Source organism: Homo sapiens, chromosome 12 (assembly GCF_000001405.40).
Source record: "Homo sapiens chromosome 12, GRCh38.p14 Primary Assembly".
NCBI classification, from domain to species: domain Eukaryota; kingdom Metazoa; phylum Chordata; class Mammalia; order Primates; family Hominidae; genus Homo; species Homo sapiens.
Genome location: NC_000012.12, coordinates 3,848,887 through 3,865,289, shown reverse-complemented (window position 1 = coordinate 3,865,289; position 16,403 = coordinate 3,848,887). Strand labels below are relative to the sequence as shown.

Below are 16,403 nucleotides of genomic sequence, written 5' to 3'. Positions count from 1 at the left end.
CGTGTAAAAATATATGCCATATTCTGGCCCATAAAACATATCTCAGTACATTTGAAAGAATTGAAGTCAAGCAAGATGTACTTTCTGACCTAAATGGAATTAAGTTAGAAACCAGTAACAGAAAGATTGTAAAATTCCCAAACATTTGGTAAATAAATAACACTTTAAGGTAACCCATGGATTAAAGAAATGAAAAGAGAAAATAGAAAGTATGAAAACAACATATCAAATTTGTAGGATGGTGCCAAAGCAGTACTTAGAGGGAAATTTGTAGCTAAATTAATGGCTGTATTGGAAAAGAAGAAATGTTACAAATCAATAATCACAGCTTTCTAAGAAACTGGAAAAAGAAGAAGTTAAACAGGAGCAAGGAAATAAAGGTTAGAGTGGAAATCACTACAACAGAAAACAACAGTGAAGATCAATGATACTGAAAGCTAGTTCTTTGAGAACATCAAGACTATTAATAAATTTCTAGCCCAGCAGATCAGGAGAAAAAGAAGACACAAATTACCAATATTAAGAATGAGAGAGGTAACATCACTACATATTCTAAAGACATTAAAAGGATAATAAAGGAATGTTATGAACAACTTTATATCAAGCAGTATGACAACTTAGATCAAATAGACATATTCCTAGAGAGATACAAACTGCTAAAGCTCACTGAAGAAACAGATAACACAAATAGTCCAACATCTGTTAAATAATTTGAATTTGCAGAAAAAAATCATTCTAAAAGAAAATTCTAGGTCCAGATGGTTTCAGTGGTGAATTCTACCAAATATTTAAGGAAGAAATAATACTAATTAACACAGTTTTAGAAAATGGAAGAGGAGGTAATACTTCACAACTCATTTCATAAGGCTGTCAGACCCTTATTTCAAAACCCATCATAGAAAACTACAGACCAATATCCTGCATGAACATACATGCACAATTTTAAACAGAATTTTAGCAACTCAAATCTAACATATATAAAAGGATTAATACATCATGACCTACTGATGTTTATTCCAAGAATGCAAGGTTTAATATTTGAACAGCCATCAATGTAATTCACCAGGTAAACAAACTAAAATGAAAAACTATGTGGTGATTCCAGTACATGCAGAAAAAGCCTTTGACAAAATCGAATATCGATTCCTGATTAAAATTCTCAGCAGCCTAGGAATAGAAAGGAACTTGCTCAACCTGATGGACGGTATGTGGAAGGGGGTTAACGCAACAGGCTGGGGTTGTTGAAACCTTGCCCATTCTTAAGCTTGTTTCCATGACTGTCCTTTGCTCACCTCCAGGGAACTAAGCTCTTGAAATTTTTTGTCTTAATAGTGTATTTGCATGCCCGAGTCTTTGAGCCGTGCTATACCAGTTTGTCCAGATTGTTTATACTAGCAATGCAGTTTACGGTGAAGACCTGCCTTCCCTCTGGGAATCTGGAGCTTCAGTAACAGGTCAGTCACACAGGTGCTGTTATGTTTACATGACTGATACCCAGTAAAAGCCCTGTACACTTTGGCTCAAATGAACTTCCTTGGTTGGTAACACTTTGCACATATTGTCACACATAGTTGGGAGAATGAAGTGTGTCCCATGTGACTGCACCGGGAAGGGACGCTTGGAACCTTGTATGTGGTTTCTTCTAGACTTCACCCCATGTGCGTTTCCCCTTTGCTGATTTTACTCTATGTTCTTTCACTGTAATAAAGTGTAACCATGAGTAGAGCAACTTTTGAGTCTTGTGAGTCCTAGGAAATCATCAACCCTGAGGGTTGTCTTAGGGACCCCTGACACAAAGGGCATCTTCAGAATGCCTTTATCTAACAACTTAATGGTGAAAGACTGACTACTTTCTCCCTAAGATCAAGAACAAGGCAATGATGTCCATTCTTTATTCAGTATTCTACTAGAGGTTCTAAGGAAAAAGGCAAGAAAGGAAAAAAGAGGCATCTAAATCTTAGAAGCAAGAAGTAAAGCTGTCTTTATTCAGATGACATGATGCCTATGTAAAAATCTAATGGAATCTTTAAAAAGCTCTTAGAACTAATAAATGAGTTTCATAAGGTTGCTAGATATGGAATTCATATACAAAAATCAATGTATCTCTATACAGTAGCAACATATAATCAGAAATTGACTTTTAAAATGCAATTCCACTTACAGTACTATCAAAAATATGAAATAAGCCTGAAAGTAGCATAAAAGATTTGCAAGATCTGTACATTGAAACCTACAAAACATTCTTGAAAAAATTAAGACCTAAATAAGTCGAAAGATATAATTTATTCATGGGTTGGAATACTCAATATTGTTAAGATGCCAATTTTCTCCAGACAGATTGATAATTCAATGCAATCCCAGGAAAAGAAATCAAAGGAACTAGAATAGCCAAAGCAATTCTGAAAAAGAAGAACAAGTTTGGAGAGCAAATGCTACCTGATTTAATGATTCAATGTGAAGCAACAATAATCAAAACAGTGTAGTATTGGCATCAAGTTAGGGAAGTTAATTAATGGAATGGAATAGAATAAAAAATAGGGCCACAAACAAATGATTTTTTAAAAGGTACGATTCAGTGGGAAAAGGACAGTTGTTTTAACTAATGATGCTGAAACAATTGGATACCCATATGCAGAAAAATGAACGTCACTCCATACTTTGCTATACTATAAAAATTATATATATAGTATATAAAATATACTAATAAAATATATAGTATAGAAAAATTTATAAACTATAAAATTTACTAAAAATGGATCATAGACCTAAATGCAGAATCTAAGACTACAAATTTCCAGGTGAAAAAAATAGAAAAAAAAATACATATATTTATTTTTTTGAGACAGAGTCATGCTTGGTTGCCTAGGCTGTAGTGCAGTGGTGTGATCATAGCTCATTGTAACATTGAACTCCTGGGCTCAAGCAATCCTCTTGCCTGTCTCCCAAGTAGCTGGGACTACAGGTGCATGCTACCATGCCCAGCTAATTTTTAAATTTTTTGTAGAGATGGGGTTTTGCTATGTTCCCCAGGCTAGTCTCAAACTACTGACTTCAAGTGATCTAGTCTAAAACTCCTGGTCTCAATCTTCTGGGTGCAGCCTCCCAAAGTGCTGTGATTACAGGGATGAGCCACTATGCCTGGCTGAGAAAAATCTTTTTCAAATCTTAAAATTTGTATTTCTCTAATGACTAATCATGTTGAACATCTTTTCATGTATTTTCCATCTGCTTGTTTTTTTGGTGTGGTTTCTGCCAGCATTGGTTAGGTACGGAGTCTCGCTCCATCAACCAGGTTGGAGTGCAGTGGTGCTATCTCATCCTACTGCAAGCTCTGCCTCCTGGGTTCACGCCATTCTCCTGTCTCAGCCTCCCGAGTAGCTGGGACTATAGGCACCCTCCACCACGCCTGGCTAATTTTTTTGTATTTTTGGTAGAGACGGGGTTTCACCGTGTTAGCCAGGATGGTCTCAATCTCCTGACCTCGTGATCCGCCCGCCTCGGCCTCCCAAAGTACTGGGATTACAGGCGTGAGCCACCACGCCTGGCCACAAAGATTCTTTTTAGCTACAATGCCAGGACTATGATCGATGAAAAAAAAAAGTGATAAAACAGACTTTATCAAAATTAAAAACTTCTGCTGTTGAAAACATGCTTCTAGGAGAATGAAAAGATAAGCCACAGACGGGAGAAAGTATTTAAAAAGCATATATCTGATAAATGACTTGTACATAGAATATATTAAGAACTCTGAAATCTCAAGAGAAGGAACTCAATTTTTTAAAGTGAGCTAAAGATATGAATAGACACTGCACCAAAGAAGATAAGCAGATGGAAAATAACAACATGAAAAGATGTTCAACATCATTATTCTTTAGGGAAATGGAAAATAGAACCACAATACTGCCCATCTATCAGATTGGCAAATATTAAGAAAAGCCTTAATGCCATTTATGAGGACTTTGCCTTCATGATCTAATCACCTCCCAAAGGCCCCATTTTCATATCACATTAGGAGTTAGAATTTCAACATAATAATTTGGCAAGGACACAAACGTTTAGTCTATAACATTCTGGCCCTGGCCCTTCCCTCCACGAAAAATTTGTGTCTTCGTTGCATGCAAATTACATTCATTTTATCCCAATCACCCCAGAGTCTTAACTGATACCAGCATCAACTTTAAAGTCCAACATCTCATCTAAATATTATCTAAATCAGATGCAGTTGAGCCCAAGGTATGATTCATCCTGAGGCAAATTCTCCTCCAGCTGTGACCCTGTGAAACCAAATATGTGCTTCCAAAATGCAATGGTGGTCTGAGTTTGGTGGCTTGTGCCTGTAATCCCAGCTACCTGGCAGGCTGAGGTGGGAGGATCACTTGAGGCCAGGAGTTGAAGACCAGCCTGAGCAACATGGCAAGACTGTCTCTGAAAAAATTGAAAAATTAATTGGCCAGACGTGGTGTCATGTGCTTGTAGTCCCAGCTCCTCAGGAAGCTGAAGCACAAGGATCACTTGATACTAGGAGTTCGAGGTTGCAGTGAGCTATGATGTGTCACTGCACTTTAGCCTGGACAAGACTAAAGTGCAAGACAACAGAGCAAGACCCTGTCTCTAAAAAAATTAAAAAGTTAAAAAATATAGTGGTGTGCTAGTCATAGGGTAGACATTCCATTCTGAAAGGGAGAAAAAGGAAGGAAGAAAGGGGTGACAGGTCCCGAGCAAGTTCCATGAAATCTTAAGGCTACAAAATGAATGATTGGCTTGATGCTCTGCCTTCCAGAGAAGTGGAAGTGCTGCCTTCTGGACCCTCTGATGGGGTTGGTCACAATCCCTGGGCTTTGAGAGGTCCAGCCCTCATGAGCCATCTGGCCTATTGAAAGCAAGGCAGTGGTCCCTTCTTTTGTTGAACCAAGGAAGCATCCCGGATGATCTCTGAATTGCTTTTAGGGTCCTTCCTTGTCTTAAAGAAGAGCACACATTTGCAGCTGAATTGCTCTATGGTCCCATCCTGAAAAATCCAAGAAGTCTACCAACCCTCCTTCATTTCTTCCCATCTACTATTTTTTCATTTCAAATTGGCAGTTGTCCTGCTGGGGCGGTCCACATCCATACTAATCTTATCAAATGATCATTTGACCACAACCTTAGTGTTGTCCTCTGAACAGACTTTCTCATTCTTTTCAATATGGGTAGGTTGAGAATTTTCTGCATCTTTAAGTACTGGTTCTTTTTTGCTTAATAATTCTGTCTTTAAGTCATTCTCTCTTCTTGCGTTCTATTTAAGCAGTCAGGAGGACCCAGGCCACTCCTTCAGCAAATTGTTTAGAGGTTTCCTCAGCCAAATATCCAATTTCATCACTTGCAAATGCATGTTATCTTTATAACTGTTACATCTTTATGTTGGAGTAACCCTTTTATCATGATAAAATGACCCTACTTTTTATAGTAACACTTTTTGGTTTGAAGTCTATTTTGCCTGGCATTAGTATAGCCACTCCAGCTTTTTTATGACTGTTGTTTGCATGGTATTTTTTATTTATCCTTCTACTTTCCACCTATTTGTATCTTTGAATCTAAAGTGTATTTCTGTGGACAGCATATAGCTGGATTTCAAAAAAATCTAATCTGAAAAATCTACGTTTTGATTGGATTAGTTTACTCACATTTAATACTATTATTTAATTGCATGTTATATTATTATTTACATCTGCCTTTTTTTTTTTTTTTTTTAGCAGAGTCTCACTCTGTCACCCAGGCTGGAGGGCAGTGGTGCAATCTCAGCTCACTGCAACCTCTGCCTCCTGGTTCAAGTGATTCCCCTGCCTCAGCCTCCCAAGTAGCTGGGACTACAGGCGTGTGCCACCACGCCTGGCTAATTTTTTGTATTTTAGTAGAGACAGGGTTTCACCGTGTTGGTCAAGTTGGTCTCGATCTCCTGACCTTGTGATCCACTCGCCTCGGCCTCGCAAAGTGCTAGGATTACAGACGTGAGCCACTGCACCGGCCTACATCTGCCATTTTACTTTTTGTTTTCTATTTAATTATTTTCAAATGTTGGAATATTCACATCTATATAATAATGTATCTTGGAGATAGTACCCAAGTCTAAACATGAATTTATTTGTTTCATATATGCCTTTTACACACAGTTCAAAGGTAATTTTATATAATATTTTTCTTTTTTTTTTTTTTGAGATGGAGTCTTGCTCTGTCGCCCAGGCTCGAGTGCAATGACATGATCTCGGCTCACTGTGACCCCCCACCTCCTGGGTTCAAATGATCCTCCTGCCTCAGCCTCCCAAGTAACTGGGATTACAGGCGCCTACCACCACACCTGGCTAATTTTTGTATTTTTTTTTTTAAATAGAGATGGAGTTTCACCATGTTGGCCAGGCTGGTCTTGAACTCCTGACCTCAAGTGATCCACACACCTGGGCCTCCCAGGGTGCTGGGATTACAGGCGTGAGCCACCGCACCCAGCCTGAATATTCATACATAAATTCTTAACAGTAAAAGGTATGACATACATTTAATACAGTGAAAAAATAATGTGTTCAGGATAACTAAGCAGTGCAATAGCATCACCAAAATACCTTTATCAGATGTTAAACAACAGCAACAGCAAACAGTGGCAAGCTTTGTCTCCACCTATGATGCTGTGTTTTGATTAAAATGCTCCTATACACTGTATTTTTTGACTTTAGGTAAAACATCAGAAGCGATTGAGGGACCAAGTAGTGGCTCCTATAGGGGCGAGGAAGCATTTTGCTGGATGGCTTTTAAAAATGTTTCCTTTAGAGTCATCTACCTTATTAACAATGGTTTTTGTCTTAGAAATCTTTCTTTGATGTTATAAATTGACATGAATTCTTGTTTGGTATGAATGCACACTGCTCCAGACCTTTAGTAATCTCATCACATGTTTTCATCATGTTGTCTACAGCCACTTTCTCTGCATGGTTAATGTTATCTTTATCACTGTTATCAAATCACCTTGATTCAGAACCATTTTAATTATTTTACCATTGATACTGAATGAACAACTGGAGCCTCATTATCAATATTAGAAACATCTTTGATATTCACTTCTTCCAGCTTACTGATAGACTCTGGAGGTACATTTTTTGCATATGTCAGGAGGTTATATATCTTTTTTGTTTTCCCTTGGATGATATACAGAGTCCTTCGAAATCACCAATTGTTCATCATCAACACTGAACATAGTCTTAGGCCAGGTTGTGTCAGGCACGACTATGTCTTCAGTCATTGTTTTCCGAGTGTTGGCAACTGCATTTGTGGCATCCTCCATGCTAAACTACTTTTGAAAACTTTCTACACCCTTATCTCTGTTCACTGTTGCTAGCATGCTATTCAAGAATATATTTTTATATTTACCCTTTATTGATCTAAGGATATCCTGGTCACATGCCTTAATTAATGAAGTCACATTTCGGGGAAAGTACATGTTATAAACATTATTTTTTATGGGAATTTCAGCTGGAGGATGAGCAGAACAGTTGTCAAGGAATAACAAAATCTTACAGTCTAGCTTCACTGCAGTAAGCATGAGCCGCTAGTACAAAATGTTTGTGAAACTAGTCAGAAAAGAGGTTTCTGGTGATACATGCCTTTTCTTTTCCTTTTTTTTTTTTAGCATAATAATGGACTGGTAAGAAATTTACTCCTTGAATACAGTGAGGACGTGAGGTTTTCCCTGTCAAAGCAAGTTTACACTTATATGTGTATTAGCACATCCCAGCACAGTTATTCTGTCTTTGGCATCCTTAATTCCTGTAAAGGCTGTCTCAGCAGCTGTAATTGGTGTCTTTCTAGGATAATAATGTCAAAACAGTGATGTTTCATTGGCATTATAGACTTGTTCTAGTGTCAGATGTTTATCAGCAATGACCTTGGCAAACTCATCAATGAATTTCTCTGTTGCTTCATGATCACCGTGTTTTATCCCTACATGTCTTTAAAAATTTAATGCTGTATCTTTTTTTTATTATTATTATTATACTTTAAGTTCCAGGGTACATGTGCACAACGTACAGGTTTGTTTCATATGTATACATGTGCCATGTTGGTTTGCTGCCCCCATTAACTCGTCATTTACATTAGGTATTTCTCCTAATGCTATCCTTCCCCCAGCCCCCCACCCCCCGACAGGCCCTGGTGTGTGATGTTCCCTGCCCTGTGTCCAGGTGTTTTCATTGTTCAATCCCACTTATGAGTGAGAACGTGCGGTGTTTGGTTTTCTGTCCTTGCAATAGTTTGCTCAGAATGATGGTTTCCAGCTTCATCCATATCCCTGCAAAGGACTTGAACTCATCCTTTTTTATGGCTGCATAGTATTCCGTGGTGTATGTGTGCCACATTTTCTTAATCCAGTCTATCATTGATGGACATTTGGGTTGGTTCCAAGTCTTTGCTATTGTGAATAGTGCCACAGTAAACGTATGTGTGCATGTGTCTTTATAGTAGCATGATTTATAATCCTTTGGGTATATACCCAGTAATGAAATCACTGGGTCAAATAGTATTTCTAGTTCTAGATCCTTGAGGAATCACCACAGTGTCTTCCATCTTCCACAATGGTTGAACTAGTTTACACTCCCACCAATAGTGTAAAAGTGTTCCTGTTTCTCCACATCCTCTCCAGCACCTGTTGTTTCCTGACTTTTTAATGATTGCCATTCTAACTGGTGTGAGATGGTATCTCATTGTGGTTTTGTTTTGGATTTCTCTGATGACCAGTGATGATGAGCATTTTTTCATGTGTCTATTGGCTGCATAAATGTCTCCTTTTGAAAAGTGTCTATTCATATCCTTTGCCCACTTTTGGATGGGGTTGTTTGATTTTTTTCTTGTAAATTTGTTTGAGTTCTTTGTAGATTCTGGATATTCACCCTTTGTCAGATGGGTAGATTGCAAAAATTTTTTCCCATTCTGTAGGTTGCCTGTTCACTCTGATGGTAGTTTCTTGTGCTGTGCAGAAACTCTTTAATTAGATCCCATTTGTCTATTTTGGCTTTTGTTGCCACTGCTTTTGGTGTTTTAGTCATGAAGTCCTTGCCCATGCCTATGTCCTGAATGGTATTACCTAGGTTTTCTTCTAGAGTTTTTATGGTTTTAGGTCTAACATTTAAGTCTTGAATCCATCTTGAAAATTAATTTTTATATAAGGTGTAAGGAAGGGATCCAGTTTCAGCTTTCTAGCCAGTTTTCCCAGCACCATTTATTAAATAGGGAATCCTTTCCCCATTTCTTGTTTTTGTCAGGTTTGTCAAAGATCAGGTGGTTGTAGATGTGTGGTGTTATTTCTGAGGCCTCTGTTCTGTTCCGTTCCATTGGTCTATATCTCTGTTTTGGTACCAGTACCATGCTGTTTTGGTTACTGTAGCCTTTTAGTATAGTTTGAAATCAGGTAGCATGATGCCTCTAGCTTTGTTCCTTTTTGCTTAGGATTGTCTTGGCAATGTGGGCTCTTTTTTGGTTCCATATGAACTTTAAAGTAGTTTTTTCCAATTCTGTGAAGAATGTCATTGGTAGCTTGATGGGGATGGCATTGAATCTATAAATTACCTTGGGCAGTATGGCCATTTTCACGATATTGATTCTTCCTATCCATGAGCATGGAATGTTCTTCCATTCGTTTGTGTCCTCTTTTATTTCGTTGAGCAGTGCTTTGTAGTTCTCCTTGAAGAGGTCCTTCACATCCCTTGTAAGTTGGATTCCTAGGTATTTTATTCTCTTTGTAGCAATTGTGAATGGGAGTTCACTCATGATTTGGCTCTCTGTTATTGGTGTGTAGGAATGCTTGTGATTTTTGCACATTGATTTTGTATCCTGAGACTTTGCTGAAGTTGCTTATCAGCTTAAGGAGATTTTGGGCTGAGACGATGGGATTTTCTAAATGTACAATCATGTCATCTGCAAACAGGGACAATTTGACTTCCTCTTTTCCTAATTGGATACCCTTTATTTTTTTCTCTTGCCTGATTGCCCTGGCCAGAACTTTCAACACTATGTTGAATAGGAGTGGTGAGAGAGGGCATCCCTGTGTTGTGCCAGTTTTCAAAGGGAATGCTTCCAGTTTTTGCTCATTCAGTTTGATATTGGCTGTGGGTTTGTGATAAATAGCTCTTATTATTTTGAGTTATGTTCCATCAATACCTAGTTTATTGAGAGTTTTTAGCATGAAGCGTTGTTGAATTTTGTTGAAGGCCTTTTCTGCATCTATTGAGATAATCATGTGGTTTTTGTGTTTGGTTCTGTTTATGTGATGGATTACGTTTATTGATTTGCATATGTTGAACCAGCCTTGCATCCCAGGGATGAAGCCAACTTGATGGTGGTGGATAAGCTTTTTGATGTGCTACTGGATTCGGTTTGCCAGTATTTTATTGAGGATTTTTGCGTTGATGTTCATCAGGGATATTGGTCTAAAATTCTCTTTTTTTTTGTTGTTTCTCTGCCAGGCTTTGGTATCAGGGTGATGCTGGCCTCATAAAATGAGTTAGGGGGGATTCCCTTTTTTTCTGTTGATTGGAATAGTTTCAGAAGGAATGGTACCAGCTCCTCTTTGTACCTCTAGTAGAATTCAGGACTGTCTGGTCCTGGACTTTTTTTGGTTGGTAGGCTATTAATTATTGCCTGAATTTCAGATCCTGTTACTGGTCTATTCAGGGATTCAACCTCTTCCTGGTTTAGTCTTGGGAGGGTGTATATGTCCAGGAATTTATCTATTTCTTCTAGATTTTCTAGTTTATTTGCGTAGAGGTGTTCATAGTATTCTCTGATGGTAGTTTGTATTTCTGTGGGATCAGTGGTGATATCCCCTTTATCATTTTTTATTGTGTCTATTTGATTCTTCTCTCTTTTCTTCTTTGTTCGTCTTGCTAGCGGTCTATCAATTTTGTTGATCTTTTCAAAAACCAGCTCCTGGAGTCATTTGTTTTTTTGAAGAGTTTTTTGTGCCTCTATCTCCTTCGGTTCTGCTCTGATCTTAGTTATTTCTTGCCTTCTGCTAGCTTTTGAATTTGTTTGCTCTTGCTTCTGTAGTTCTTTTAATTGTGATGTTAGGGTGTCGATTTTAGATCTTTCCTGCTTTCTCTTGTGGGCATTTAGTGCTGTAAATTTCCCTCTACACACTACTTTAAATGTGTCCCAGAGATTCTGGTACGTTGTATCTTTGTTCTCATTGGTTTCAAAGAACATCTTTATTTCTACCTTCATTTAGTTATTTACCTAGTAGTCATTTAGGAGCAGATTGTTCAGTTTCCATGCAGTTGTGTGGTTTTGAGTGAGTTTCTTAATCCTGAGTTCTAATTTGATTACACTGTGGTCTGAGAGACAGTTTGTTATGATTTCTGTTCTTTTACGTTTGCTGAGGAATGCTTTATTTCCAACTATGTGGTCAATTTTGGAATAAGTACAATGTGATGCTGAGAAGAATGTGTATTCTGTTGATTTAGGGTGGAGAGTTCTGTAGATGTCTATTAGGTCTGCTTGGTGCAGAGCTGAGTGCAAGTCCTGGATATCCTTGTTAACTTTCTGTCTCGTTGATCTATCTAATATTGACAGTGGGGTGTTAAAGTCTCCCATTGTTATTGTGTGGGAATCTAAGTCTCTTTGTAGGTCTCTAAGGACTTGCTTTATGAATCTGGGTGCTCCTATATTGGGTGCATATATATTTAGGATAGTTAGCTCTCCTTGTTGAATTGATCCCTTTACCATTATGTAATGGCCATCTTTGTCTCTTTTGATCTTTGTTGGTTTAAAGTCTGTTTTATCAGAGACTAGGATTGCAACCCCTGCTCTTTTTTGCTTTCCATTTGCTTGGTAGATCTTCCTCCATCCCTTTATTTGGAGCCTGTGTGTGTCTCTGCACGTGAGATGGGTCTCCTGAATGCAGCACACTGATGGGTCTTGACTCTTTATCCAATTTGCCAGTCTGTGTCTTTTAATTGGGGTATTTAGCTCATTTATATTTAAGGTTAATATTGTTATGTGTGAATCGGATTCTGTCATTATGATGTTAGTTGGTTATTTTGCCCATTAGTTGATGCAGTTTCTTCCTAGCATCGATGGTCTTTACAGTTTGGCATGTTTTTGCAGTGGCTGGTACGGGTTGTTCCTTTCCATGTTTAGTGCTTCCTTCAGGAGCTCTTGTAAGGCAGGCCTGGTGATGACAAAAATCTCTCAGCATTTGCTTATCTGTAAAGGATTTTATTTCTCCTTCACTTATGAAGCTTAGTTTGGCTGGATATGAAATTCTGGGTTGAAAATTCTTTTCTTTAAGAATGCTGAATATTGGCCCCCACCCTCTTCTGGCTTGTAGAGTTTCTGCCGAGAGATCCACTGTTAGTCTGATGGGCTTCCCTTTGTGGGTAACCTGACCTTTCTCTCTGGCTGCCCTTAACATTTTTTTCCTTCATTTCAACCTTGGTGAATCTGGCAATTATGTATCTTGGGGTTGCTCGTCTCAAGGAGTATCTTTGTGGTGTTCTCTGTATTTCCTGAATTTGAATGTTGGCCTGCCTTGCTAGGTTGGGGAAGTTCTCCTGGATAATATCCTGAAGAGTGTTTCTAGCTTGGTTCCATTCGCCCCGTCACTTTCAGGTACACCAATCAAACATAGATTTGGTCTTTTCACATAGTCCCAAATTTTTTGGAGGCTTTGTTCATTTCTTTTTACTCTTTTTTCTTTAAACTTCTTGCTTCATTTCATTCATTTGATCTTCAGTCACTGATACCCTTTCTTCCACTTGATTGAATCAGCTACTGAAGCTTGTGCATGCGTCACATAGTTCTTGTGCCATGGTTTTCAGCTCCATCAGGTCATTTAAGGTCTTCTCTTACACTGTTTGTTCTAGTTAGCCATTCGTCTAATCTTTTTTCAAGGTTTTTAGCTTCCTTGCGATGGGTTCAAACATCTTCCTTTAGCTCGGAGAAGTTTGTTATTACCAACCTTCTGAAGCCAACTTCTGTCAACTCGTCAAAGTCATTCTCCATCCAGCTTTGTTCCGTTGCTTGCAAGGAGCTGCGTTCCTTTGGAGGAGAAGAGGTGCTCTGGTTTTTAGAATTTTCAGCTTTTCTGCTCTGGTTTTTCCCCATCTTTGTGGTTTTATCTACCTTTGGTCTTTGATGACGGTGACCTATAGATGGGGTTTTGGTGTGAATATCCTTTTTGTTGGTGTTGATGCTATTCCTTTCTGTTTGTTAGTTTTCCTTCTAACAGTCAGGTTCCTCTGCTGCACGTCTGTTGGAGTTTGCTGGAGGTCCACTCCAGAACCTGTTTGCCTGGGTATCCCAGCGGAGGCTGCAGAACAGCAAATATTGCAGAACAGCAAATATTGCTGCCTGATCCTTCCTCAGGAAGCTTCGTCTCAGAGGGGCATCCGACTGTATGAGGTGTCAGTCGGCCCCTACTGGGAGGTGTCTCCCAGTTAAGCTACACGGGGGTCAGGGACCCACTTGAGGAGGCAGTCTGTCCATTCTTGGAGCTCAAACACTGTGCTGGGAGAACCACTGCTCTCTTCTGAGCTGTCAGACACGGACATTTAAGTCTGCAGAAGTTTCTGCTGCCTTTTGTTCAGCTATGCCCTGCCCCCAGAGGTGGAGTCTACAGAGGTAGGCAGGCCTCATTGAGTTGCGGTGGGCTCCACCCAGTTCAAGCTTCCTGGCCACTTTGTTTACCTACTCAAGCCTCAGCAATGGTGGAAACCCCTCCCCAAGCCAGGCTGCTGCCTTGCAGTTTGATCTCGGACTGCTGCGCTAGCAGTGAGCAAGGCTCTGTGGGCATGGGACCCGCTGAGCCAGGTGCGGGATATAATCTCCTGGTGTGCCATTTGCTAAGACTGTTGGTAAAGGGCAGTATTTGGGTAGCAGTGTCCCAGTTTTCCTGGTACAATCTGTCACGGCTTCCCTTGGCTAGGAAAGGGAAATCCCCCAATCCCTTGTGCTTCCTGGGTGAGGCGATGCCCTGCCCTTCTTCGGCTTGCCCTCTGTGGGCTGCACCCGCTGCCCAACCAGTCCCAATGACATGAACCAGGTACCTCAGTTGGAAATGCAGAAATCACCTGTCTTCTGTGTCAGTCACGCTGGGAGCTGTGGACCAGAGCTGTTCCTATTTGGCCATCTTGGAATGGACCCCCAATGCTGTATCTTTTCTTAAATTTCTGTAACATGCCTGTTGAGTATTCAGTATTCTTTTCAATTTTCAGTTCATCATGATCTTTGATTATTTCATGATCAGCATACTATTAAGTGGCATGGATTCTCTGTGATGCTGATGGACTATCCTTTCAATACATGAACAAGATTTTGTTTTTAGCTTTATGTAGGATTTTTCCATTTTTATTAACTTCTGTTCATTACTTTCAACATAGAACTTTCATAGTTGGTCCTTCTCTTTCTTCAGATCATATATATAGTGGTCATTTCAACACCATACTCTTCTGTAAGATATTTCAGACTTAACATTGCTGTCCAGTTGCTATAACAGCTTGACTTTCTGTTTTGTAGATAAATATAAATGCTTTCCTTTTTTTCTTATCACTGTTATCCACAGTGATATCTGCAGGCCTTTCTGACCTTGTCAACAGTATCTTTATACTGCAGAGCAGAGAATAAGAAAAAAACACAGTAATGCACATAGATATTGGCCTCTTGTGGGGCATTGTGAGGAACCTGCCATTGGCGTATCCAGCCTGTACATATACCATTTTATTACCCTTTGTGGACATGCTTGCGTGGGGGAATCTGGACATGTGAGGAAAATATATATTACAGCTGAAAGGGCCTGGGAAAGTCTTTTTTCCCTTGAATAAACTGTATATTATACTCTCTCATTTTGACTGTGACCCATCACATGAAGTCAGGAGTAGAATTTTCCACTTGTGGCCTTATGTAAAGTCTCAAAAAGTTTTGGATTTTGGAGGAATTCTGATTTCAGATTTTTGGATTAGGGGTGTTCGAACTGATATAATTATGCTATATATATTATGTCTATATATGTTACCAACCCAACTATACATTTTTATTATTACTTTACATAATTATATGTCTTTTAAGGAAGCTGATAGAAAAAAGGGGAGAACAAGTATGTAGCATCTATATTTAATTTATTACATATACCATCTTATTTACTGTGATTCTTCTTGTGGATTTGAGTTACCATATGGTGTTATTTCCTTCTCCAATATAGCTTTGTTCCCACCTGCCTTCTTGATGCTGCTATTGTATATTTAACAGTTCTGTATATTATAGGCATAATGATATGTATTTAATTAAATACATATTTAAAATTAAATACATATTTAAAAAGTTGATACATAATCGATATACATATTTTCAGGACATGTGATAATTTAATAAATTCACATAAAATTTACATATGAAATCAGGGTAATAGGATATCTATCACCTTAAATACTTGTCTTCTTTATGCTAGAAACCATTCAAACTATTCCCTTCTAGCTATTTTGAAATGTACAATAGATTATTGTAAACTACAGTCACCCTACTGATCTATTGAACACTAGGTCTTATCACTTCTAGGTCTTATTTCTTATATCTAACTGTATATTTATACCCATTAATCAACCTCTTTTAATCAGTCTCTCCCCCTGCCCTTCCCAGCCTCTGGTAACCACCAATCTACTTTGTCTCTTCATGAGTTCCACTTATTTAGCTCCTACATATGAATGAGAACAGGTGATATTTGTCTTTCCGTGCTTGGCTTATTTTACTTGACATAACGAATTCTCATTTCATCCATGTTGCTGCCAATGTCATGACTCCATTCTTTTTTACAGCTCGATAATCCATTGTGTATATAAACCACATTTTCTTTATCCATTCATCCATGGATGGATACTTAGGTTGATTCCCTATCTTGGCTATTATGTATCATTCTGCAATAAACATGGGAGTGCAGATATCCCTTCAGTGTACTGATTTTTTTTCTTTTAGGTATATACTCAGTCGTGGAGTTGCTGGATAATATGGTAGTTCTATTTTTTTTTGAGGTACCTCCATAATTTTCCATGGTGACTGTTCTTATTTACATTCCCACCAACAGTGAACGAGGGTTCCATTTTCTCCACATCCTTGCTAGCATTCGTTATTCTTTGTCTTTTTATAAAAGCTATTTTAACTGAGGTGAGATGATGTCTCATTGTGGTTTTGGTTTGCATTTCTCTGAAAATTAGTGATTTTGAGCATTTTCTCATATACCTGTTGGCAATTTGTATGTCTTTTGAGAAATATCTATTCAGGTCTTTTGCCCATTTTTAAATTGGATTATTTGTGTTTTTTTTTTTCTTTTGCTGTTGAATTGTTTGAGCTCCTTATATATTATTATTATGAATCCATTGTCACATTGATAGTTTGCACAT

The 16,403-nt window shown here is 38.5% G+C and overlaps 1 protein-coding gene across 6 annotated transcripts in view; it reads left to right on the top strand.

Annotated features, from left to right (window-relative positions):
• Window positions 1–16,403, top strand: part of PARP11 (poly(ADP-ribose) polymerase family member 11) — a 64,539-nt gene that overhangs the window by 8,110 nt on the left and 40,026 nt on the right. Inside the window, exon 2 of one of the 6 annotated variants that reach the window (NM_001286522.2) lies at window positions 1,333–1,454. The exons of the other annotated variants lie outside the window; for them this stretch is intronic. The gene's annotated coding sequence lies outside the window, so the exon portion shown is untranslated. The remainder of the gene's footprint in view (window positions 1–1,332; window positions 1,455–16,403) is intronic. 6 annotated transcript variants of the gene reach the window in all.